Source organism: Homo sapiens, chromosome 8, assembly GCF_000001405.40.
Source record: "Homo sapiens chromosome 8, GRCh38.p14 Primary Assembly".
Taxonomy (NCBI): Eukaryota; Metazoa; Chordata; class Mammalia; order Primates; family Hominidae; genus Homo; species Homo sapiens.
In genome coordinates, this window is record NC_000008.11 from 69,979,917 (window position 1) to 70,007,529 (window position 27,613).

Sequence of the window (27,613 nt, forward strand, 5' to 3'; positions counted from 1 at the left end):
TAGAGACTGTTACGGGCTTGTTCAGGAGGTTTGCAGGCAGGCGTGATTTCTTTCCTATCGAGTGTCCTTTAGCTAGTGTATGTAATTGAGAAGGATAGCTCACCATTTCCTTGACACTGACGTAGCACTATTCTTATCATCTCAGTCGTGATGCCTAAATCCCTTCACAGCTAGATAACTCACTTTCAGATGAAGCCACTGGACAGATCAGTGGTTCTCAGGGTGGGGTTCCCTGACCAACAACATCAGCATCACCTGGGATCTGGTTAGAAATGCAAATTCCCGGGCCCTACCCTAGCCTTACTGAAACTGAAACTCCCAGGTGGGGCCCCTGCCATCTGGGTTTCCATAGGCCTCCAGGGGCTTCCGAGACATGCTAAAGTTCGAGAAGAACTGGATTAGGCCTCTGTTTCCAAAACTATCCTAGTGATAAAAAAAATAACCTGGGGCCCTGATTAAAAGGAAAGATTCTCAGAACCCATTCCCTGGAGTTACTCAGAGTCACTCCGTAGAGCCGCTCTGGGGCCCCCGAGAGTAGGTATTTTAACCAGCAGCCCAGGTGCCTCTTCTCCTCTGGCAAGTTTAGGAAACTGCATGAGTTATCTCAAAGTCTTCCCTTCTAGAAGGCTTTCTAGAACAAAAGTGAGGTTGAGTGAGGATTAAAGAGATTCCCTCTCCTCCTGTCCTTCAAAGTATGAGCTGGAGGACAGACGGAACCTGAGGCAGGCAAAAAGATTGTGTTTATATCTGTAAGGAAACTCTTGCCAGTAAAAGATGGAGAAGGGAGGCATGGCTGGGCCAATGTCCCTGTGTGCAGAGATACAGGAAAGATGGAAGATACACTTTGATAACTAGCTGAAATGGCCTCCAGGCAAGAGGGAGATAAAGAGGATAGTGTACAATTGACCACTTACCTTGGCAAGATATGCCTAAATTAGGTGTTCACAATTTAGAAGACTGGGTGTGTGCAGCGTTGAGTAATGCCAATTGTAGGTACAGCTTCAGCATTCTATTGACATTAGATTGCCTTCCATCTTGACTCTGGAAACAGTGCCAGTGACTAGGGGCCCACTTCGACGGGCAGGCAAAGAAGGCAAGCCCTGGAAGTCCCCCAGCCTCTGCTAACAAATGCCTGAAACTACACCCCTAAGATTTCAATAGCTTTTTTTTTTTTTTTTTTTTTTTTTGAGATGGAGTCTCGCACTGTTTCCCAGGCTGGAGTGCAATGGCGCGATCACGGCTCACTGCAACCTCCACCTCCCAGGTTCAAGCAATTCTCCTGCCTCAGCCTCCCGAGTAGCTGAGATTACAGATGCCTGCCAGCACGCCTCGGTAATTTTTTGTATTTTTAATACAGAAGGGGTTTCACCATGTTAGCCAGGCTGTTCTCGAACTCCTGACTTCATGATCTACCCACCTCAGCCTCCCAAAGTGCTGGGATTACAGGTGTGACCCACCGCGCCTGGCTCAATAGCTTTTTAGTCTTGGATTTCTTTTTCTTTTTAAAATTATTTTTATTTTATATATTTTAGGATATTAGACCTTTGGTATATCTTGGATTTATTAAAGAATGCAAACATTAAGCCTTATTTATCTCAAGAACCATGCAGCTGATCCTGTCAGGTTCAGCCATTTTTTATAAGGAGAGGGCCTAGGGATGTCGGGTAAGTGGAAGAATGTCTGTATTTTAGGTGGCTTAAGAGAGCCCTTAGGGCTATCTTGTTTGTTTAAAATGGATAGAGAACCAGGTTAGAGGGTATGAAGATAAATAATAAATGAGTGACGGCTCAAGACCACAATTAGGCCAAGGTTAATAAGATTCAATCCCAGTGGGCAAAGCTTCTCTCTTTGGAAGGAGACACTACATAACTGTATCTGGCTGATGCACTTGTTGGTATAGCTATCATTTAAAAAAAAAATCTAAATCAAAACCAAATCAAGAGTATAATCTTGATGAAATTTAAGAACCTATTTGTAGCCAGGCACGGTGGTTCATGTCTGTAATCCCAGCAGTTTGGGAGGCCAAGGCAGGTGGATCACTTGAGGCCAGGAGTTCAAGACCAGCCTGGCCAACATGGCGAAACTCTGTCTCTACTAAAAATACAAAATTAGCCGATGTGGCGGCAGGTGCCTGTAGTCCCAGCTACTTGGGAGACTGAGGCAGGAGAATCATTTGAAGCCAGGAGGCAGAGGTTGCAGTAGGCCGAGATCATGCCATTGCACTCCAGCCTGGGCAACAACAGCAAAACTCCGTTTCAAAAAAAAAAAAAAAAAGAATCCTCAGGATTTTAATATAATAGTGCTATATGGCTTCCTTCCAATACCAAAATTAATGTCATTTCTGAAGATTTAGCTAAAATAAAAGATCCTAGCACTGCATTTCTTGGCCGAAAATGCAATCATTTTCCATCTGGTCATTTGGCTAAGTTAAGGTACAGTGGCCTTTAGAGTTGGAAATGAAGGTCAAGACAGTTGGCTTTTGGTTTTTGCCCAAGAAAATTCACTGTGCATGTTTTTATTTTTTATGTTTCATTTTTATTTATTTACTTATTTTTGAAACAGAGTCTCTGTCACCCAGGCTGGAGTGCAGTGGTGCCATCTCGGCTCATTGCAACCTCTGCCTCCCAGGCTCAAGCAATCCTCTGATCTTAGCCTCCTGAGTAGCTGGGACTACAGGTGTGCACCACCATTCCTGGCTAATTTTTGTATTTTTTGTAGAGGCAGGGTTTTACCATGTTGCCCAGACTGGTCTCAAATCCCTGGCCACAAGTGATCCACCCACCTTGGCCTCCTACAGTGCTGGAATTACAGGCATGAGCCACCTACCTTGTCCCGCCATGTTTTTGTTTGTTTGTTCGCTTGTTTTTGAGAGGAGTCTCCCTCTGTCCTCCAGACTGGAGTGCGGTGGCACAATCTCAACTCACTGCAACCTCTGCCTCCTGGGTTCAAGCAATTCTCCTGTCTCAGCCTCCCCCTCCTGAGTAGCTGGGACTACAGGCACCCACCACCACACCTGGCTAATTTTTGTGTTTTTAGTAGAGACAGGGTTTCACCATATTGGCTAGGCTGGTCTCGAACTCCTGACCTCAGGTGATCTACCTGCCTCAGCCTCCCAAATTGCTAGGATTACAGGAGTAAGCCAGTACACTCAGCCCCCACCATGTTTTTAATTCTATAGAATAGATGATAACCAAGGTTCACCAAAGCAGAGAGGTTAGGTATTGTACAAATTTAAGAGTAAGCTAGATCATTCAGAATAAAAAGAACCTTTACTTTCTCCCTTGGACTCAACCCCATTATTTCTTATGCTTTTCCTGCAGGCCAATACAATACTTGGCCACTGAATTTAGTATTTTTGGCAAAGCACATAATAATAACCTATTGTTAGAATCTTCTAGCACCCAGGTAACACCTAATTACTTTGAAATTATTATAGTTATTATTAAATACGCTTAAAATCAAGGATGGAAAATGTCAAAATTAAAAACTTTTTCCAGCATTCAACCTCTGGTGAGAAAAGAAAAAAAACTTTTCCAAGCAGCCAACTTTGCTTTAGTTGTTATACGGGGTGACTAGACAGAAAGCCTATACAAAACTCTTTCCTGCAAATCCATACGGTATAGCAACTGAAAAGCAATTTACTTAGCAAACATTATTACTGAATGAAATATGTTGAAGAGTCCAGACGCAGTGGCTCACACCTGTAATCCCAGCACTTTGGGAAGCCAAGGTGGGCAGATCACTTAAGGTCAGGAGTTCAAAACCAGCCTGGCCAAAATGGTGAAACCCCATCTCTACCAAAAATACAAAAGTTAGTCGGGCATGGTGGCAGGCATCTGTAATCCTAGCTACTCAGGAGGCTGAGGCAAGAGAATTACTTGAACCTGGGAGGTGGAGGTTGCAGTGAGCTGAGATCGCACCACTGCACTCCAGCCTGGGCAACAGAGTGAGACGCCTTCTCAAAAAGAAATAAAATTCAAAGAAACAGGCTGGGCTCAGTGGCTCACACCCGTAATCCTAGCACTTTGGGAGGCCAAGGCAGGTGGATCACGAGGTCAGGAGTTAGAGACCAGTCTGGCCAATATGGTGAAACCCTGTCTCTAATAAAAATTCAGAAATTAGCCAGGCGTGGTGGTGCATGCCTGTAGTCCCAGCTACTTGGGAGGCTGAGGCAAGAGAATTACTTGAAGCCAGGAGGCGGAGGTTGCAGTGAGCTGAGATTGCAGTGAGCTGAGATTGCACCACTGCACTCCAGCCTGGGCAACACAGCAAGACTCTGTCTCAAAAAAAAAAAGAAAGAAAGAAATATGTTGAAGAATGAGATGCTCTATCAAATAGCCTCGTTAATGGTTATGTTCATTATAATTGGATTATCAATTGTCAAATAATTGAAATATGACAATAATCTCCAAATACCAAAATTATGGTGACTCTAATATATTCTTTCTGGGTGTGCTTCTGGGTCATGATTAAAAGTGGTGTTTTTTTTTTCTTTTTTGAGATGGAGTCTCGCTCTGTCGCCCAGGCTGGAGTGCAGTGGCGTGATCTCGGCTCACTGCAAGCTCTGCCTCCCGGGTTCACACCATTCTCCTGCCTCAGCCTCCTGAGTAGCTGGGACTACAGGTGCCCGCCACCACACCCGGCTAATTTTTTGTATTTTCAGTAGAGACGAGGTTTCACCACGTTAGCCAGGATGGTCTCGATCTCCTGACCACGTGATCCACCCACCTCGGCCTCCCAAAGTGCTGGGATTACAGGTGAGAGCCACCAAGCCCGGCCCATTAAAAGTATTAATCATTGTTGTATAACAGAAATAAACAGATGCAGTGGTTCAACAAAGACAAACAAGTGCAATTTTATTTATTTATTTATTTATTTTTGAGATGGAGTTTCACTCTTGTCACTAATTTTGTTTTTGGTTTTGTTTTTGTTTTAAGAGAGAATCTCACTTTTTTTTTTTTTTTTTTTTTTGAGACGGAGCTTCTCTCCTTCTCTCTTGTTGCCCAGGCTGGAGTGCAATGGCACAATCTCGACTCACTGCAACCTCCGCCTCCTGGGTTCAAGCAATTCTCCTGCCTCAGCCTCCCAAGTAGCTGGGATTACAGGCATGCGCCACCATGCCTGGCTAGTTTTGTATTTTTAGTAGAGACAGAGTTTCTCCATGTTGGTTAGGCGGGTCTCAAACTGACCTCAGGTGATCCACCCACCTCGACCTCCCAAAGTGCGGGGATTACAGTCATGAGCCACCGTGCCCGGCCCAGAGTCTCACTATTTTGCCCAGGCTGAAGTGCAATGGCGCGGTGTTGTCTCTCTGCAACTTCCGCCTCCCAGGTTCAAGCAATTCTCCTGCCTCAGTCTCCCAAGTAGCTGGTACTACAGGTGCATGCCACCACACCTGGCTAATTTTTGTATTTTTAGTAGAGATGGGGTTTCACCATGTTGGCCAGGCTGGTCTTGAACTCCTGACCTTGTGATCTGCCTGCCTCAGCCCCCCAAAGTGCTGGGATTACAGGTGTAAGCCACCATAATCGGCCTAATTTTTGTATTTTTTAGTAGAGACAGGGTTTCACCATACTGGCCAAGCTGGTCCTGAACTCCTGACCTCAGGTAATCCACCCATCTTGGCCTACCAAAGTGCTGGGATTACAGGCGTGATGCACCACACCCGGCAGAAAGTGCAATTTTTAAAATGGGCAAAGGACTTAAATATTTCTCCAAAGAAGATAATAGTTTCTCATCATCAGTCATTAGGTATATACTAGTCAAAACCACGATATAGCACTTCGTGCGCACTAGGAGGGCTATAATTTTTTTTTTTTTTGAGACAGAATCTCACTCTATTACCCAGGCTGGAATGCAATGGCGCCATCTTGGCTCACTGCAACCTCTGCCTCCAGGGTCCAAGTGATCCTCCTGCCTCAGCCTCCCGAGTAGCTGGGATTACAGGCTCCCACCAGCACACCCGGCTAATTTTTGTATTTTTAGGAGAGACGGGGTTTCATCATGTTGGCCGGGCTGGTTTCAAACTCTTGACCTCAGGTGATCCGCCTGCCTTGGCCTCCCAAAGTGTTGGGATTACAGGCGTGAGCCACCACACCCGGCATGGCTATAATTTTTTAAGTGGGAAATAACAAATGTTGGCAAATTTATTATTTGACCCCTCCCTCTTACATTGCTGGTGTGACTGTGAAATACTGCAGCCACTATGGAAAATAGTTTATCTGTTCCTTAAAAAGCAATTATAGAATCATCATAGGACCCACCATTTCTACTTGAAACCCAAAATAATTGAAAGCAGGGATTCAAACAAATGTTTATACACAAATATTCATAGCAGCACTATTCACAAGAGCTAAAAGATGAAAATAACCCAAATGTCCAACAGTGGATGAACAGTTACACAAAACATGGTATACACACATTGAGATATTACTTAGCCATAAAAAAGCATGAAGTAGGCTGGGCACGGTAGCTCACACCTTAATCCCAGCACTTGGGAGGCTGAGGTGGGTGGATCACCTGAGCTCAGGAGTTCGAGACCAGACTGACCAACAATGGCGAAACCCTGTCTCTGCTAAAAATTTAATTTAGCAGGGCATGGTGGCACATGCCTGTAATCCCAGCTACTCGGGAGGCTGAGGCAGAAGAATCACTTGAATCCTGGAGGCAGAGGTTGCAGTGAGCCAAGATCACGCCATTATACTCCAGCCTGAGCAACAAGAGCAAAACTCCATCTCCAAAAAAGAAAGAAAGAAAGAAAGAAAAAAGCATGAAGTACTAATACATGAATGTGGATGAACCACAAAACATACTTGAGCCCAGGATCTCAAGACCAGCCTGGGCAACATGGTAAGCCCCCCATCTTAGTAAAAACTCTTTTTTATTTTATTCACTTATTTTTTTAAACAAGAAGTTTATTTAAACAACAAGACTTGAAGGGAAAACTATCTAGGATTCTTTTTTGTTTTAGAGTAATTTATCCCTACTTAAAGACAGATTGCCCTACATGTAACAGCTACGTAGAAAAAAGTTATAAAATTGTCCTTGGTTTTACAATGATAAATGAAAAACAGTAAAATTCTCCAATTGAACAAAGTATGCAAGGATTTTTATTTTTTATTTATTTATTTTTTTGTTAAAACAGTGAGAGTAAAATAAATTACTGGAATATAAAGAGCTGAATGAGCATGCTACTAATGGAGAAAGGGGGTATTTTCACAGAATCAGTATTTTTCCCCATTCCATCTCCACTTGATGTCAATCAAAACATACCATTGGCTGTTTAGTTAAAAAAAAATGCAATATGCTTGTGCACATATACCAATTACTTTACATACAATAAAGGAATGGGAAAAGGGGAAATGAAAGAATAGAGAAAACTATACTGTAGTAGTCAGGATGTGGTGGAACCAAATTGCAGTTTTCTAATTGAGAATGTAATCTCCTCGGTCTTGAAAGAACAGAGTTCTGGAGTAAAGAAGCAGGTTCCTTTTTCAGTAGACACCTCCCGTCTGCTGTTGGAACACATCAATTGTATCTTCATCCTCCATTTCCAACTGTGCAGGTGTGTCTGTTTCATTGATTGGTTACCTGTGGAATTGTAATCTAATCTGCCTCATTGACAATCCCTGTCTTTCACAATAGGCTTTCATTAGTTTACTAAGTGGTGTATGCCTCTTAATCTTAAACTGCATCACAGAACCATCTTTCCCTGCCACCGTTAAATTAGTATGATCGTGGTTCTCAGCCTTGACTCCTTCCTTGGGCTTTTCGTCAGCTATGGTGAGCATCAGAGTCTCCTCAGCTGTAGCTTCACAAGAGAGGTACCAGGTTCGCATGGAACGAGCAAAATCTTTTTTTTAAAAAAATTAATAATAGGCCAGGCACGGTGGCTCATGCCTGTAATCCCAGCACTTTGGGAGGCCGAGGCGGGTGGGTCACGAGGTCAGGAGTTCGAGACCAGCCTGGCCAACACGGTGAAACCCCGTCTCTACTAAAAATACAAAAATTAGCCGGGCATGGTGGCGCATGCCTGTAATCCCAGCTACTCAGGAGGCTGAGTCAGGAGAACTGCTTGAACCCAGGAGGCGGAGGTTGCAGCGAGCCGAGATTGTGCCACTGCACTCCAGCCTGGGTGACAGAGTAAGACTCTGTCTCAAAAAATAATAATAATAATAATTATATATATATATATATATATATATATATTTTTTTTTTTTTTTTTTTTTTTTTTGAGATAGGGTCTCGCTCTGTCGCACAGGCTGGAGTGCAGTGGTGTGATCTCAGCTCACTGCAACCTCCGCTCCCCAGGTTCAAGTGATTCTCCTGCTTCAGCCTCCCAAGTAGCTGGGATTACAGGCTCCCACCACCATATCTGACCAATTTTTGTAGTTTTAGTAAAGATGGGGTTTCACCATGCTGGCCAGGCTAGTCTCGAGTCCTGATCTCAGGTGATCTGCTCACCTCAGCTTCCTAAAGTGCTGGGATTACAGGCATGAGTCACCGTGCCCAGCCATAAAAATGATTTTTAAAAAGAAAGGAATGAAGGAAGGAAGGGAGAGAAGGGAAGGATCTCTCTATGTTGACCAGACTGGTCTCCAATTCCTGGGCTCAGACAATCTACACACCTCGACCTCCCAAAGTGCTGGAATTATAGGCCTGAGCCACCACGCCGGTCAAAAAGCTGTCTACTTAGGGAATGTTTTGAAATAAATGGAGCCCTTCAATTCTACCCTGATAGTCAACATTTTATCTATTAGCCAGACCTTCAGAGAATGACAAATGTAGACCATATAATTTTGTGTCCGTTCATTGCTGTTATGCCATCAGCCTATGTTGAGAGATGTTCCAAGGAGCTCCACCATACACCATGGTGCCTGTAGTTAATAACAATATAATGTATTCTTGAAAAATGCCAACAGAGTGGATGTTATGCATTCTTGCCACAAAAATGATAGCTATGTGAGGTAATGCATATGTTAATTAGCTAGATCTTGTCATTCCACAATGTATATATACAGAATATCATGCTACACATGATAAATACAATTTTATCTGTCAATTTAAACAATGAAATAAAAATTTTAAAGGAGCTCAAAAAATCTATTTTATTTATCTACAGTGACCTTGGGATTTCCTGAAGGAAAAGCATTGGAGTAGAAGTAAGAGCTGACTGTGAAAGCCTGAGGAGGAGCTGCCTTATTGTTAAGGGGTAGCAAGAAGCCCAGGCGTGGCAGTCCACGCCTGTAAGCCTAGCACTTTGGGAGGCCAAGATGGGAGGATCGCTTGAGCTCAGGAGCTTGAGACCACCCCGGGTAACATAGCGAGACCTCGTCTCTACAAAAAATGGTTTGTTTTTTGTCTGTTTCTTTGTTTGTTCGTTTGTTTGAGGCAGAGTCTCACTCTGTCGCCCAGGCTGGAGTGCAGTGGCGTGATCTCGGCTCACTGCAAGCTCCACCTTCTGAGTTCACGCCATTCTACTGCCTCAGCCTCCCGAGTAGCTGGGACTACAGGCGCCCACCACCACACCCGGCTTATTTTTTGTATTTTTAGTAGAGACGGGGTTTCACCGCGTTAGCCAAGATGGTCTCGATCTCCTGACCTCATGATTCACCCGCCTCAGCCTCCCAAAGTGCTGGGATTACAGGCGTGAGCCACTGCGCCCGGCCTGGTTTTGTTTTTTCAAGACAGAGTCTCGCTCTTTTGCCCAGGCTGGAGTGTAGTGGCACGATCTCTGCTCTCTGCAACCTCCGCCTCCCAGGTTCAAGCGATTCTGGTGCCTCAGACTCCTGAGTAGCTGGGACTACAGGTGTGTGCCACCATGCCCAGCTAATTTTTTTATATTTTTAGTAGAGACAGGATTTCACTGTGTTGGCCAGGCTGTTCTCAAACTCCTGACCTCAGGTGATCCACCCGCCTTGGCCTCCCGAAGTGCTGGGATTACAGGCATGAGCCACTGTGCCCAGCTACAAAAAATGTTTAAAACTAGTTGGGTGTGTTAGTGCACACCTGTAGTCCCAGTTACTTGGGAGGCTAAGGAAGGAGGATTGTTTGAGCCCAGGAGTTTGAGGCTGCAGTGAGCTATGATTGTGCCACACTGCACTCCAGCCTGGGTGACGGAGCAAAACCTTGTTCAAAAACAGATAAATATATAAATTAATAATAATACAAATAAAAAGAGTACTCTGAGCAGTGCTTGGTGCCACAGCTGGGACTACCCAGCTACTCAGGAGGCTGAGACAGGAAGATCACTTGAACCCAGGAGTTGAGTTCAGCACTTTGGGCAACATTGAGAGACCTCATCTCTAATAAATAAATAAACTAGAACTCTGACCGACAACCTGCAGCCACCTGCCCAGAAAATCAATCCCTTATCTACAATTAACAGCACAGGGATCCAGCATGCTTAACTCAGACTTGCAGAAGCCACACTCTATCTCTAAAACAGTTCGGGATGCTAAATAACACCAGCTATAACGACTGGCCCAAAATGGCTAGGAAGAACTTGATTAGTAACTGACAGCTTCCCTGGTTTTTATGCTCACTTCCAACTTAGGACCAAGCAGAAAAGTCAAATACACACCCCTAACCAATCACATCAGGTGCTTTCCTTCAGTTAGCCACCTACAGTTTTCCCAAGCCAGCAGCCTCCATTCAGGACCGACCTGAAGCCTTCCCTTTTTCTGCTATAAAGCTTTTCTGTTTCCCCTACCTGCCTTTGAGACTCTGCAAACACAAGTGATGGTGGCTGACTGCCTTGCTATAGCAAGCGCTGAATAAATAGCCTTTGCTTTTCTCAGTTGGTCTTCATTTATGTCTACAGAAGATTTTGAACAGAAGAGTGACATGACCTGTCTTAGGTTTTAAAAAGATCAGTGTGTGGCTGGGCATGGTGGCCCATGCCTGTAATCCCAGCGCTTTCTGAGTGTCCGAGGCAGGCGGATCACTTGAGCCCAGGAGTTTGAGACCAGTCTGGCCAACCCTGTCTCTACCAAAAATACAAAAAAATTAGACAAGTATGGTGGTACATGCCGGTAGCCCCAGCTTCTCAAGAGGCTGAGGTGGGAGGATTACCTGAGCCTAGGGAGACTGAGGCTGCAGTGAGCTGTGATCACGCCAGAGAGATGATGTTAGGAGCCCTGCAACAGCTACAGAGATGGTGAGGGCTGGTCCCATTCAAGGATTCAATGTAGGGTAAGAGACAAGAGAAGGATGACTCTAAGGCCTTTTTTTTTTCCTGCTTACCTGCTTGTTCACTTACATTTGACTGAGCAGCTGAAGATTAGAATGGCATTAACTGAGAGAAGTCATGGATGAAGCAAGGTAGGGAGGAATGCCATGATTTGTTTTTGCAGAAATTAAGTGGGTTTTTGTTGTTGTTGTTGTTGTGTGTGTGTGTTTTTTGAGATGGAGTCTCGCTCTGTCGCCCAGGCTGGAGTGCAGTGGCGCGATCTCGGCTCACTGCAAGCTCCACCTCCCAGGTTCACTCCATTCTCCCGCCTCAGCCTCCCCAGTAGCTGGGACTACAGGCGCCCGCCACCACACCCGGCGAATTTTTTGTATTTTTAGTAGAGACGGGGTTTCACCATGTTAGCCAGGTTGGTCTCGGTCTCCTAACCTCGTGAGCTGCCTGTCTTGACCTCCCAAAGTGCTGGGATTACAGACGTGAGCCACCGCGCCCAGCCACACAAATTAAGTTTGAGATGCCTGTTGGACTTCATAGTGGAGATGTTGGGCAGAATCTGGGCTCAGGGAAGAGATCCAAGCTGAAGATATAAATATAATATTTGTCCACATAAAGATAATTATTAAAGCTATGAGACAAAAGAGAAAAAATGCAAGGACTAAATACCCATTGTTCTGAAATATGTTTTTTCTGTTTTTCTACTCAATAAACGCAGATCTGCCTCATTCTTCGTAACTGCCGCATTTGGGAGAGAAATATCAATCTGTTTGTGCATCCTTTTAGTGTTGGGGCCGGGCGCGGTGGCTCACGCCTGTAATCCCAGCACTTCGGGTGGCCGAGGCGGGTGGATCACGAGTTCAGGAGATTGAGACCACGGTGAAACCCCGTCTGTACTAAAAATACAAAAAAAATTAGCCGGGCACGGTGGTGGACCCCTGTAGTCCCAGCTACTCAGGAGGCTGAGGCAGGAGAATGGCGTGAACCCGGGGGGCGGAGCTTGCAGTGAGCCGAGATCGCGCCACTGCACTCCAGGCTGGGCGAGAGAGCAAGACTCCGTCTCAAAAAAAAAAAAAAAAAAAAAAACCAGTTTGTGTTTCTTTCTTAAAAGAAGGAAAATATAAAGAAACATATGCCTGGCAGCTTTGAAAGAAAGAGAATATTCTTCTCTTAACAAGGCATTCCAAGGCCTGGATGTGGCTCTGTTAATACAGAGAAGTAACACCTTGAGGAAACAAAGCGTGCTACTTCACCCCCAAATCACAGCGGTAATTACCTTCCCGATGTTCATTTGGGTAAAAATCATCCTTCATTAGATTTACGTTTTCTGATGTTGGAATACTAAATTAGGTAGTTGTCTTCCTAATAAGTCACCTTGGGTATTACCTGTGCATTCTCTATTCAGATCAGTGGTCTGGGAATAAAACGTAGGAGGGAGAAGGGGGGAATTCGGGAAGTTAGATAGCGTTGGTGGCAAGATGGAGGAGCCACAGGACTGTTCTGAATGATGCCACCAAAATGTTGGTTTCATAAAAAACAGGCTAATAAATCCTCTTAACAAGAATTTACCAACACTGAAGTTCAGCTTTACTATGCTCTGCAAGACGACTGCGTTAATTTCCTGAGGCTGCCGTAACAAAGTTCTACAAAGTGGGTGGTTTAAAATAACAGAAATGTATTCTCTCACAGTTCCAGAGGCCAGAAGTCCAAAACGAAGGTGTTAACAGGGCTGTACTCCCTCAAAAGGTGCTAGGGAAGAATGCTTCTTTGCCTCTTTCAGCCTCTAGCAGCTCCCGGCATTCCTTGGTTTGTGGCTGCAGGATTCTAATCTCTGCCTCCATCTTCACATGACTTTCTCCTGGTCTGGGTCCTCCTCTTCTTTCTCTTATAAACACTTGTCATTGGGCTTAGGGCGCAGCTGGATAATGCAGGATGATCTCATCTCCAGATCCCTAACTTGACTACATCTGCAAAGACCCCCCTCTGGCACCCAAACTGGAGTGCAGTGGTGCCATCACAGCTCACTGCAGCCTCACCCTCCCCGGCTCAAGTGATCCTCCCATCTCAGCCTTTTTTTTTTTTTTTTTTTTTTTTTGAGACAGTCTTGCTCTGTCACCCAGGCTGGAGTGCAGTGGCGCTATCTCGGCTCACTGCAACTTCTGCCTCCCAGAGTCAAGTGATTCTCCTGCCTCAGCCCCTTGAGCAGCTGAGATTACAGAAGCACACCACACCCGGGTAATTTTTGCATTTTTAGTAGAGACAGGGTTTCACCATGTTGACCAGGATGGTCTCCAACTCCTGGCCTCAGGTGATCCGCCCACCTCGGCCTCCCAAAGTGCTGGGATTACAGGCGGGAGCCACTGAGTCTGACCTATTTTTTAATGTTTTCATTGATATGTCATAGATGTACCCATTTTCAGAGTGCACATGATAATTTAATACATTCATATAACTTGTAAAGATAAAATCAGTGTAACTGGGATAACCATCACCTTAGGAAAAACCCGTTTTATTTCTAAATTTCATTTATTTATTTATTTATTTATTTGAGACGGAGTCTAGCTCTGTCGCCGTGCTGGAGAGCAGTGGCGCAATCTCGCCTCACTGCAACCTCCGCCTCCCAGGTTCAAACGATTCTCCTGCCTCAGGCTCCGGAGTAGCTGGGACTACAGGCGCCCCCCACCACACCCAGCTAATTTTTGTATTTTTAGTAGAGACAAGGTTTCACAATGTTGGCCAGGATGGTATCCATCTCCTGACCTGGTGATCCGCCTGCCTTGGCCTCCCAAAGTGCTGGGATTACAGGCGTGAGCCACCGCGCCCGGTCTTAATTTTTGTTTTTTTTTAGTAGAGATGGAGTTTCGACGTGTTGGCCAGGCTGCTCTCGAACTCCTGACCTCAGATGATCTACTGGCCTCAGCCTCCCAAAGTGCTTAAATTACAGGCGTGAGCCACCGTGTCCGGCCAAAAGCCATTTTAAAATTGTCTTTCTCTGTAATTACTGGTTCATCCGAAGCATCATATGAAAAGTGTTTTCTGTTGAATGTGACACTCTTTAAATTTAATTTCTATTTCTTTCTTTTCTTTTCTTTTCTTTTTTTTTTTTTTTTTTTGAGACGGAGTTTTGCTCTTGTTGCCCAGGCTGGGGTGCTGTGGCGCTATCTCAGCTAACTGCAACCTCTGCCTCCCGGGTTCAAGCGATTCTCCTGTCTCAGCACCCTCTCCCCGCGGTCCCCCCCGCCCCCCCCCCCAACCCGAGTAGCTAGGATTACAGGCACATGCCACCACGCCCGGCTAATTTTTGTATTTTTAGTAGAGACAAGGTTTCATCATATTGGTCAGGCTGGCCTGGAACTCCTGATCTCAGGTGATCCGCCAGCCCCAAAGTGCCGGGATTACAGGCGTGAGCCACCGCGCCCGGCCTTTAATTTCTATTTCTAAGCCTGTGGATATTCACTTTTGCAATGCTGCAGCAGTTTTCAAAACCAGAGTCTAAATTCATTGCAGAAGTCCAGTAACCCCTGGTGTGCTTGATGGCAATGTCCACGCGGACGCTTCTGTTCTGTAATGATTTACTGACAACGTCTGCCCTGTGTGAACCAACGGGCGGGCAAGGCGCTGCAGGGAGGGACTCCAAAGACACACGCGCGCAGCCCTCCTCCCGCCCGCAGCCCTTCAGCTGCTACAGTGGCCACAGCTATTCCGAGGTCTATTCCGGCCTCGCCGCCGTGGCGAGGCTTGCGCATGCGCACTGGGCGCCTGAATAATGGCTCAGGCGCCGGCCCTGCCTGCGTTGCCCGCAGGCCGGAGTCCCCCACCCTGCTGCGGGTTTATCGCTCCAGCTCATGCTCATACTCCTTTGTACCATGGGATTTTACTTACAAAACAAGTTCAACGATAAAATAATTAAGAATTTTAGGAGTGCAGGGGCCGGGCGCGGTGGCTCACGCCTATAATCCCAATACTCTGGGAGGCCAAGGCGGTGAGGATCACTTGAGGTCAGGAGTTCGAGACCAGCCTGGCCAACATAGTGAAACCCCCGTCTCTACTAAAACTACAAAAATTAGGTGGGCATGATGGCGTGTGCCTGTAATCTCAGCTACTCTGGAGGCTGAGGCAGGAGAATCGCTTGAACCCAGGAGGCAGAGGTTGCAGTGAGCCGAGATCATGCCACTGTACTCCAGCCTGGGTGACAGTGAGACCTGTGCAAAAAAAAAAAAAAAAAAAAACAGCAGAGCATTGAACCAGGCGCAAAGGCCTTTCTTAGAGGGGGCTGTCACATGCCCATACAGTTATGTGGGCTTAAGCTACTCCTATTTCCAGAGGAGCAGGCGAGGCAGTTCTAGCAGCCTCATCTCTAGTCTTGCATCCGTGGAGTCAGCCGGACAACATAATGCTTATAACCAGCCTTCTTCTAGAAACATGTTTCAATGTAAAGTGGTCTTCAGATGAAACAAAAGGGAACTGGGTACCTGTGTCCTTTAAGGTTATGGAGATTCAGCCACTTGTTGACTGAGCGCCCTTGGGCAAGTCCCTTAACCCCTCCAGGCCTTGGTTCCTTCATTTGTAAAAGAATATAGCATTGTACCAATGTTAATTTTTTGGCTTGGATCATTGAAAGTTGGCTATGTAAAATGTTAACATACAGGAAAGCCAGGTTGTGAGAATTGTGTATAGTACTGCATTTTTGCAGCTTCTCTGTTTCAGGGGCAGATGACTTGGAAAACAAGGAGGGCCTCCCATCTTGTATTAGGTTTAGAATGCACTGGCACTGATAAATCCTGACTTCTACTCAAGGTTTTGTTGTAAACTAATGTGTCCTGCTGGGATACACTGCTTAATTTCTAATCCCTTACCTTAGAAAACTGTGGATATTGAATTAGATTTTTTTTTTTTGAGACAGCGTCTCACTGTGTCACCCAGCCTGGAGTGCAATGGCGCAATCTCAGCTCACTGCAATCTCTGCCCCCTGGAGGGGATCTCACTTTTTTGCCCAGGCTGGTTGTGAACTTTTGGGCTCAAGCAATCCTCCTGCCTCAGCCTCCCAAAATGCTACAATTACAGCCTCCCAAAATGTGAGCCACTGCATCCAGCCAAAAAAAATCTCAAGTGATTCTCCTGCCTCACCCTCCTGAGAAGCTGGGATTACAGACGCCCGCCACCACTCCCAGCTAAATTTTTTTGTATTTTTAGTAGAGATGGGGTTTCACCATGTTGGCCAGGCTGGTCTCGAACTCCCGACCTCAGGTGATCCACCCACCTCGACTTCCCAAAGTGCTGGGACTACAGGCATGAGCCACCACACCCGGTCTAGATATCTTTTTTTTTTAATTAGATTTTTAATGTCCTTTCTAATTTTAAAATGTAAGACCAATTAAAGGGTTTCTAGGTTCTCCTTTGCCTCCTTAGCTCTTTCTATTCTATTTTGATTTTTTCTTTCTTTTTTTTTTTTTTTCCTGAGATGATGTCTTGCTCTTGTTGCCCAGGCTGGAGTGTAATGGTGCGATCTCAGCTCACTGCAACCTCCACCTCCTGGGTTCAAGTGATTCTCTTGCCTCAGCCTCCAGAGTAGCTGGGATTACGGGCGCGTGCCACCACGCCCAGCTAATTTTTGTATTTTTAGTAGAGATGGGGTTTCTCCAGGTTGGCCAGGCTGGTCTCGAACTTTCGACCTTAGTTGATCCACCCGCCTTGGCCTCCCAAAGTGCTGGAATTACAGGCTTGAGCCACTGTGCCCAACCTTGATTTTTTCTTTTAATTCATGCTTCCAGCCCTCCTTAGCTATGTTGTCCTCTTATTTTGTATCCACTCAGTACATGCTGAGCTCATCCAGAGTTAGTACTTAGCAGTATCCATGAGTACTGCCCTTAGGAAAGGGCCCGTTTCTACCCTATCCAGTTGGAAGAAGGTACCTGTCACCCAGAGCTCTGACCCCAGTCATCTTTAGCTAAACTGGTGTCTCTCAACTTTGACTGCATGTTGAAATCACTTAGGAAGATTTTAAACTTGCTGGTGGGCCAGTTCCATCCCCAGAGATTCTGATTTGATAGATCTACATGTGAATAGGCCAGACTCCCACTTTTTTCTTTTTTAAGAGACAGGGTCAGGCCGGGTGTGGTGGCTCATGCCTGTAATCCCAGCACTTTGGGAGGCCGAGGCAGGCGGATCATGAGGTCAAGAGATCGAGACCATTGTGGCCAACATGGTGAAACCTTATCTATACTAAAAATACAAAAATTAGCTGGGCGTGGTAGTATGTGCCTGTAGTCCCAGCTACTTGGGAGGCTGAGGCAAAAGAATCGGTCGAATCCAGGAGGCAGAGGTTGCAGTGAGCCGAGATCGTGCCACTGCACTCCAGGCTGGGTGACAGAGAGAGACTCCATCTCAAGAAAAAAAAAGAGAGACAGGGTCTTGCTCTGTCATCCAAGCTGGAGTGCAGTGATGTGATCATGGCTGACTGCAGCATCAAATTTCTGGGCTCAAGCAACCCTCCTGCCTCAGCTTCCCAAATAGCTAGACCTACAGACCACCATGCCTGGTTGATTTTATTTTTTGTATAGATGGGATCTCACTTTTTTGCCCACGCTGATTGTGAACTTTGGGCTCAAGCAATCCTCCTGCCTCAGCCTCCCAAAATGCTGGGATTACAGCCTCCCAAAATGTGAGTCACTGCATCCAGCCAAAAAAAATCTTAAGAACTATTTTATTGTGATATAATTCACTCAAATACTACACAATGCAACTGAAGTGTACAATTCAATGATTTTTAGTATAGTCATAGAGTTGTCAGGGAATTAAATTTTTAATTTTTGTTATACAGGGGTACAAAATGTGAAAGAACCAATAATTTCCATTTGATTATGATAAGTTTTTCAGATTTTTTTTCTCTAGTCCTGTTCTCCTATACAAGTCTGGTTGAAGGAATGAAGGTAATTAACAGTGATAAACTTACCTTTAATGAAAAGAAGTGTCATTAATGAGAAAAAAAAAAAATCAGTTTTCTCTCAATGCTCATTCATCTTCCCTGAAAGGACAGAATGCTTCCAAATGGTGATGATTCATTCCAAAATGTATATGCTCTGCTTTATGTACTCTTTGATTAATCCATAACAATCGATTACCATTGCTTACTTTATTATTAGGTTTCCCCAGCACCATTACACTCCTGACTAATGAAAATACTAAGAAGAATCTATTAGTAGCATGCACAATATCATTCTAGCTAATGCTGAATCGCTAACTGCCTTCAAAATTTGAAGGCATGGTCTTACAATGTATGGGACCTCTACAATATATAACGAGTCCATATAAAGTACTTAGAAAAGGGCATAGCACCAAGTAAATGTTCAGTGAATAGTGCGATTACATCATCAAAACCAGGACACTTTCAAGAGTAAAAGGGGACATTCAATGTATTTGCTGTTATTTTATTACACAGCATCTATTTTGCATAATTAAAATGATAATACAAACAAATGGTGATTTTAAACAATTTATAATTAAACCATGGAAAGAAATCTCACATAAGTTGTTTAATTTTTTTCATTAGAATAAAGGCAACTGCTGGGTGTGATAGCTCATGCCTGTAGTTTGGGAGGCCAAAGCAAGCAGATCACTTGAGCCCCGGAGTTGGAGACCAGCCTGGATAACATCGCAAAATCTTGTCTCTACAAAACAGACAAAAATGAGGATCGCTTGAGCCCAGGAGGTTGAGGCTGCAGTGAGCCATGTTTGAGCCACTACACTCCAGCCTGGATAACTGAGCAAGACCCTGTCTCAAAACAAAACAAAACAAAATAAACAAACAAACAAAAAGAATTAAGGTAACTATAAATAAATAGAGCAAAGATTGTCATTTTGGGTTGCTGCTTTTGAATCACACTATACCCCTCCTGCCCTGATGAACACATGTAGCTATCAGGTTTTTTTTTTTCTGAGACGGAGTCTCACTCTGTCACCAGGGCTGGAGTGCAGTGGCATGATCTTGGCTCACTGCAAGCTCTGCCTTCCAGGTTCACACCATTCTCCTACCTCAGCCTCCCGAGTAGCTGGGACTACAGGCGCCTGCCACCGCGCCCGGCTAATTTTTTGTATATTTAGTAGAGACGGGGTTTCACCGTGTTAGCCAGGATGGTCTCCATCTCCTGACCTCGTGATCCACCCGCCTCGGCCTCCCAAAGTGCTGGGATTACAGGTGTGAGCCACCGCGCCTGGCCTGATAGCTATTAGTTTTAAACAGCCAAAGCCTGGCGTGGTGGCTCACACCTGTAATCCCTGCACTTTGGGAGGCCAAGGCAGGCAGATCACTTGAGGTCAGGAATTCTAGACCAGCCTGGCCATCATGGTGAAACCCTGTCTCTGCCAAAAATACAAAAATTAGCCCGGCGTGTTGGCGCATGTCTGTAATCCCAGCTAGTCAGAAGGCTGAGGCAGGATAATCGCTTGAATTCAGGAGGTGGAGGCTGCAGTGAGCTGAGATCACACCACTTCATTCCAGCCTGGGCAACAGAGTGATACTCTGTGTCAATAAATTAATAAATAAATAAATAGCCAAAATAATAGATGTCTGTGAACCTGGTTAGTTCTTCTGGAGTCATACATTCAAGCACCAGTTGGTCTGCAGAAATGCCAGGCTCTTACACATTTGGATTTCTGGTGCAATTCATCTGTCACTTTTTGACATGTGGTCAATTTTATGATAATTGAAGTTTAAGAGGAATTTGTAGAAAATAGGTCTTTGTACTTAAGGTGTAAGGAAATAACACACAAATGAATTTTCCCAGTTCCAGAAGCTTTTATCATCAAAATTTCTGGTTATTTTAGATGGAAATTTTTCTATATGTGTGTCTCATAACTGTTTTCCAAGAGAGACCAAGTCTCTCTTTTAGGGAGTTTCATTTCACATCCTGAAAAAATATGCATACTAGTGGGTACAGTGTGTTGGACTTCCAGGCAAAAGAAGGCAGAGTGCTGTACCTACCAACTGCATGCCAAGAATGAATGCCTTCCTCCTTGACAGACATGACTGCCTTTGTTTCAGTCCCAGTCAGGGAAGGAGTCTCTGGAATCAGCACCTCACAGATTCCCTCTTCATGGTATTCTGGCCTGACAGCTTTGTCCTCTTCTATACGGTGACTTCTGACAGATGCAATCCACTTTCACAGCACATGACTGAGCATACCCAAGCCTGGGCACCAGTTTTGAATGACCATATGTAACTTTATCCTTTTTCCTCCCACTCAAGAAAATATAGTGGAAAGCAAGTAAGAGTCATATTACTGTATAAATAACCTCAAATCTGCTCTGATTTTTTGTTAAAGCAAGCCAACATGGGTATATTTGCAAACTTGCATATACTCTCTCTTTTTTTTCAAGACAGGGTCTCATTTTGTTGCCCATGCTGGAGTGCAGCGATATGATCACCACTCACTGCAGCCTTGACTTCCTGGGCTCAAGTAGATCCTCCCACCTCAGCCTCCCACGTAGCTGGAACTATAGGTATGCACACCACCCCTGGCTAATTTTTGTATTTTTTATAGAGATGGGGGTTTTGCCATGTTGCCCAGGCTGGTCTCAAACTCCTGACCTCAAGTGATCTGCCTGCCTCAGCCTCCCTAAGTGCTGGGATTACAGGAGTGAGCTACCATGCCCGGGTCATAACTTGAGTATATTCTCGAAAAAACAAAATATTTGTAAAATTACCTTACAACTTATTATGACACACCAGTGCATGCTGTCACTCCATGACACATAAATGTTGTCCCTTATATTGGATCTGCAGTGAGACCACCTTTCTCTTTTATTCCCAGAATGTTAATTTATTATTTATTCATTCATTTGCTAGTTCTTTTATTCATTTCACAAACACATAATGAGTATTTACCATGCTAAATGCTAAGGATGCATAGATGACCAAGACCAAAAATCCTCTGCTGCCAATGAGCTCATATGTACTGAAGGAAGTTAGATATATCAACAAAAGAAATCAAGATGTGGCTGCGTGGTGACTCATGCATATAATGCTAGCATTAGGGAGGCAGAGGTGGGAGGATCACTTGAGCCTGGAAGTTCAAGAGCAGCCTGGGCAACCTAGCAAGATCCCATCCCCCCGCCCCCAAAAAACAGCAAGATGTATGTGCATATATGGATATAGATATATTGTAGATCATATATCTGCCAGATGGTTAGAGAGGGACAACTGACAACCACTGCTATGTAAAGATATAAGAGAACAGAAGGGTCTACAGCTCACCTGACGGGGAAAGGGTGGTCAGAGAGAGGCTGAATCTTAATAAATGTAACACTTTGTCAGATATATAAGAGAGGGCAGTCCTTCTGGTCGGTGCCATGGCCAAGCTCTGCAGCCAGTGTGCTGGTCTGAAGGGCCAGCGGTAGCAAATTGACTTACACCTTAATGTAATGGGAAGATACAAGGGCACGTATATAGGCTGGGCACATTGGCTCACGCCTGTAATCCCAGCACTTTGGGAGGTGGAGGTGGGTGGACCACCTGAGGTTGGAAGTTTGAGACCAGCCTGGCCAACAAAGTGAAACCCTGTCTCTACTAAAAATGCAAAAATTAGCCGAGTATGGTAGCGCATGCCTGTAATCCCAGCTACTGGGGTGGCTGAGGCATGAGAATCGCTTGAACCCAGGAGGCAGAGGTTGCAGTGAGTTGAGATCATGCCACTGCACTCCAGCCTGGGCAACAGAGTGAGACTGTCTCCAAAATAAATAAATAAATAAATAAATACAAATAATAAAATAAAAGAAATTTTTTTAAAGAAAGATGATAGGGCTGGGCACGGTGGCTGACACCTGTAATCCCAACACTTTGGGAGGCCAAGGCATGTGGGTCACGAGGTCAGGAGATCGAGACCATCCTAGCCAACATGGTGAAACCCCATCTCTACTAAAATACAAAAAAATTAGCCAGGCATGGTGGTGTGCACCTGTAATCCCAGCTACTCAAAAGGCTGAGGCAGAATTGCTTGAACCTGGGAGGCAGAAGTTGCAGTAAGCCAAGATCACGCCACTGGTGCCACTGCACTCTAGCCTGGGCAACAGAGCCAGACTCCATCTCAAAAAAAAAATAAAAAATAAAAAAGAGGATGTTAAGGATTAGAGTCCCCCTCTTCTCTGTCCTCTCTTTCTCAGCCCCCCTTCACTTATATACACTTTTTCTCCCAGCTCAATCACCTCTCAGAAGCAGCCTGCTTAAATCTTATTAGCTTTGATCTGACAATATAGTCATCATTGAATTACCTAAAATTTCTGAGTTGCAAAAATACTTCTTCCCCACAAAGACTTATACATGAACATTGCTGGCAGGATTATTCATAAATAGCCAATGGAATATTCTTTAGCATAAAAAGAACCAATCTACTGAAACTTGCAACAGTATGGATGAGCCTCAGAAGAATTATGCTAAGGAAAAGAAGCCAAATACATATTGTATGATGTATATATCTACCTATTTTTATAAAATTTCTAGAAAAGAAAAATCTATAGTGAAAGAAAGCAGATCAATGCTCTCCTGGGGCTAAGGTTGGGAGAGGGATTCATTGCCAGTGAGCATGTGGTAACTTTTTAGGGTGATGGAAATGTTCTAAAACCTGATTGTGGGATTGGTTGCACAACCATAAATTTACTAGAAATAATTTAACTGTGCACTTACAATACGTAATTTTTTTTTTTTTTGAGATGGAGTTTCGCTCTTGTCACCCAGGCTGGAGTGCAATGGCGCGATCTTGGTTCACTGACACCTCTGCCTCCTGGGTTCAAATGACTCCCTGCCTCAGCCTCCTGAGTAGCTGGGATTACAGGCACCTGCCACCATGCCTGACTAATTCTGTATTTTTAATAGAAATGGGGTTTCACTATGTTGGCCAGGCTCGTCATGAACCCCTGACCTCAGGTGATCCACCCGCCTTGGCCTCCCAAAGTGCTGGGATTACAGGCTTGAGCCACCATGTCTGGCTACAATAGCACATAAATCATATGTCAGTGAGACTATTTTTATTTATTTTTATTTTTATTTATTTATTTATTTGAGATGGAGTCTCGCTCTGTTGCCCAGCCTGGAGTGCAGTGGCACAATCTTGGCTCACTGCAAGTTCCGCCTCCCAGGTTCACGCCATTCTTCTGCCTCAACCTCCCGAGTAGCTGGGACTACAGGCACCCGCCATCACGCCCGGCTAATTTTTTGTCTTTTTAGTAGAGACGGGGTTTCACCATGTTAGCCAGAATGATCTCGATCTCCTGACCTTGTGATCCGCCCGCCTCAGCCTCCCAAAGTGCTGGGATTACAGGCGTGAGCCACGGCGCCCAGCCTCAATTTTTTTTTTTTTTTTTTTGAGACGGAGTCTCACTCTGTCACCAAACTGGAGTGCAGTGGTGCCATCTCGTCTCACTGCAACCTCCACCTCCCAGGTTCAAGCTATTCTCCTACCTCAGCCTCCCGAGTAGCTGGGACTACAGGTGCAGGTGCGCACCACCACACCCAGGTAATTTTTGCATTTTTAGTAGAGGTGGGGTTTCACCATGTTCGCCAGGATGGTCTTAATCTCTTGACCTCATGATCTGCCCACCTTGGCCTCCCAAAGTGCTGGTATTACAGACGTGAGCCACCGCACCCAGCTCAGTGAGACTATTTTTAAAATGTACTGCCCAGCCCACTTCCCTGCCCTTTTAAGAGAATGTATTAAACATAATTGAACCTTTTTCTTCAGGGTCATCAGCATAACTATGTTGTATTTTCAGTATAGTAAAGTGATTCAGTGATGGTTGGGTGATTCCTCAGCAAGTTGCAGAACCTCCAAAGCTTCAGCTTCTTCATTTGTGAAATGAAGATGATAAGCATTTCTAGCACATAGGGTTATTAGGAGAATTACAATGAAACATGTATAACACTTAGAAGAGAGGTAAAGAAAACTCAGTAACAGTAGCTGATAGATGCTGATGATGACCTACCATGCTTCATTTTGCAGATGGGAGAAAAGGGAGAAAGTGGTAGGGAGATGCCAAAAAATCCAAGATGTTAAAATCAAAAACAACTCTCTGAGGCATGTCAGTTTATGTTCCCTATGATCTTCCTGGCTTTCCTAGTTTCATAACTACTTACAAATCATTTATGCATGGGGCGTTTATCAAAAACCTGTGATGTGCCAGGCACTTTTCTTTATAGGATCTCTTTTTAATCCTTGTAGCAATCTTGTGTGATCAGCTACTTTACCAATGAGGACTCAAGGTTTGAAGACAAGTCCTGCCTCTAGTAAGTGATAGTCTTAAATCAATTCTGAGTTTGCCTGACTTCAAAACTCACACTTTCCATTATAACAATAGAGTAAGAATGGTGACAGTGGCTAATGAACCTGCAAAGGGGACTTTTCTTTTGGTAGAGATGGAGTTTCACTACGTTGCCTAAGCTGGTCTCAAGCTCCAGGGCTCAAGGGACTCCTCCTGCCTTTGCCTCCCAAAGTGCTGGGATTAAATACAGGCTTGAGCCACTGTGCCCAGCCAAGGGAACGTTTTTGAATCAATACTTTAATTTTACTAGAAAGGGGCCAGGCGCGGTGGCTCACACCTGTAATCCCAGCACTTTGGAAGGCTGAAGTGGGAGAATCACTTGAACCCAGGAGGTTGAGACTGGAGTGAGCCATGTTTGTCCCACTGCACTCCAGCTTGGGCAACAGAGCAAGACCTTATCAAAAAAGAAAAGAAAAGGAAAAAAGGGCCGGGCACGGTGGCTCACACCCAGCACTTTGGGAGGCCGAGGCGGGCGGATCACGAGGTCAGGAGATCGAGACCATCCTGGCTAACATGGTGAAACTCCGTCTCTACTAAAAAACATAAAAAATTAGCCGGGCGTGGTGGTGGGCTCCTGTAGTCCCAGCTACTCGGGAGGCTGAGGCAGGAGGATGGCATGAACCCGGGAGGTGGAGCTTGCAGTGAGCCGAGATTGTGCCACTGCACTCCAGCCTGGGTGACAGAGCGAGACTCCGTCTCAAAAATAAATAAATAAATAGGAAAAAAAAGAGAGAGAGAGGAAGGAAAGAAGGAAGGGAGGGAGGGAGAGAGGGAGGAGAGAGAGAGGCGAGAGAGGAAAGAAAGAAAGGAAGAAAGAGAGAGAGGAAGGAAGGAGGGAGAAAGAAAGGAAAAATAATAATAAATTTAAAAACCAATAATTTTACTAGAAAGGCCAATGATAGAGCAATGTAGTGGTTTAGAGAAAATCCCACTAAGATGAAGGTCCTGAAAAAGATCCTGCTTTCTCTCTGCTGCTTCTTCTTTTTTTTTCGAGATAGGGTCTCACTCTGTTGCCCAGGCTGGAGTGCAGTGGTGTAATCTTGGCTCACTGCAACCTTTGCCTCCCAGGTTCAAGCGAGCCCCCTGCTCATTTCTTGTGAAATTTCCACCAGAGCACACCTTGGGGGCAATAATTCTCAAAATTTCCAGGTGATAGAATTCTTGGACAAAGAGGTCCTCATTATGAACAGCCATGAAAAAACTAACATACAAAAGATAATAGATGTTGTGCTAAATTAAATAGCATTACCTATCGTATGCTAACCAGCAAGCACCATTTCTAATAAAAATGTGTGGAAGAAAAATAAATTTTAAGTGATTAGTGAATTGTTTTTTACAAGTTGGTGAATCTTATTGTTCAAGGGCATATGGAAGTTCTTTGTACTTTTCTTTTTTTCCTTTTTTTTTTTTGAGATGGAGTCTCGCTCTCTCGCCCAGGCTGGAGTGCAGTGGCATGATCTCGGCTCACTGTAACCTCCACCTCCCGGGTTCATATGATTCTCTTGCCTCAGCCTCCCGAGTAGTTGGGGCTACAGGCACCTGCCACCACGCCCGGCTCATTTTTGTATTTTTAGTAGAGACACGGTTTCACCATATTGGTCAGGCTAGTCTCGAACTCCTGATCTTAGGTGATCTGCCCGCCTCGGCCTCCCAAAGTGCTGGGATTGAAGGTGTGAGCCACCACACCCGGCCTAGTTCTTTGTACTTTTCTTGACATTTTTCTCCAAGTTTGAAATTATTGCCAAAACAGTTGAAAATAATCAGCATGTAATTTTATTGCTTTATCAATTAAAAAAACTTAAAATTTAATCTAAATGGAAACTTTACTATAATACTAAGATTTAGCAACCCTGTGTGATCAATTATGAATGTGCTTCATGAGGTCAGAGGCCAGAATATCAAAGATTTGTATTTAATGTTTATGATCAACCTCCAACAAAACCATTTTCTCCCTGTATTAGAGTTTACTCCATTGCTGACTCCTCATTGAACACTTTGCTGCACCAACCCAACCAACTCAGAGGGTTAGAGAATTGTTTGAGACCCCTCCTACAAAAATTAAAAAATTAGCCAGCTGTGGTGGTGCACACCTGTAGTCCCAGCTCCCCGAAAGGATGAGGCAGGAGAATCGCTTGAGCCCAGGAGGTCGGGGCTGTCATGAGCTAGGATCACACCACTGCTCTTCAGCCTGAGTGATAAAGCAAGACGCTGTCTCAAAAAAGAAGAAGAAGAAGGAGAAGGAGAAGAAGAAGAAGGAGAAAAAGAAGATGATGATGATTTGCTCTTACTGTAGACCTTAGCAACCTCAGCACACTTTTTTGTTTTTCCTTTCCTTATTCTTTTTTTTTTTTTTTTTTTTTGAGACGGAGTTTTGCTCTTGTTGCCCAGGCTTGAGTGCAATGGCGCTATCTCAGCTCTCTGCAGCTCACTGCAACCGCCGCCTCCTGGGTTCAAGCAATTCTCCTGCCTCAGGCTCCCAAGTAGCTGGGACTACAGCTGCCCGCCATCATGCCCGGCTAATTTTTTTTTGTATTATTAGTAAACAGGGTTTCACCATGTTGAACAGGCTGGTCTTGAACTCTGGACCTCAGGTGATCCACCCGCCTCGGCCTCCCAAAGTCCTAGGATTACAGGCATGAGCCACCGCACCTGGCCCCTTTCCTTATTCTTAAAGGAAGCACTTTACAGCTCTGCTTTGACATATCTGAATTGCCAGCATTACTACTCTTGCAGTTTGGGGCCATGATGAAGTAAAATAAGGGTGACTTGAACACAAGTATTGCAATCTGTTAACCAATAACCAAACAACTACTAAACGACTAAGGGGAAGGTAGCCTCTATGGCGTCTATAGCATGGAGATGTTGGACAAAGGGAGAATTCACATCCAGTCAAGATGTAGCAGAACCTCGAAATATTTCATCACATAACTCAGAATGGCACAAAATTTAAAACTTATGAATTGAATTGTTTATTTCTGGAATTTTCCATTTAATATTTTTGCACTACAATTGACCACAGATAACTGAAACCTGGGAAAGCAAAACCAAGGTAAGGGGAGACTAGTGTATCCATGCCTCAGTACCAAACTCTTTCACTTACTGTAGTTTCACAAAACATTTTAA

At 44.7% G+C, this 27,613-nt stretch overlaps 1 pseudogene, besides 2 other annotated features; it reads right to left on the bottom strand.

Moving 5' to 3' along the window:
- Window positions 45-144: a silencer, noted in NCBI's record as "silent region_19266". NCBI's record gives its function as "represses an Ori minimal core promoter by ATAC-STARR-seq in GM12878 lymphoblastoid cells {active_cell/tissue: GM12878}" and the evidence as "EXISTENCE:reporter gene assay evidence [ECO:0000049][PMID:35858748]".
- On the bottom strand, window positions 7,446-7,838 carry SUMO2P20 (SUMO2 pseudogene 20; annotated as a pseudogene).
- Window positions 14,950-15,516: an enhancer, noted in NCBI's record as "NANOG-H3K27ac-H3K4me1 hESC enhancer chr8:70907101-70907667 (GRCh37/hg19 assembly coordinates)". NCBI's record gives its function as "activates a minimal SCP1, AML or CMV promoter by ChIP-STARR-seq in primed H9 embryonic stem cells {active_cell/tissue: H9 hESC(primed)}" and the evidence as "EXISTENCE:reporter gene assay evidence [ECO:0000049][PMID:30033119]".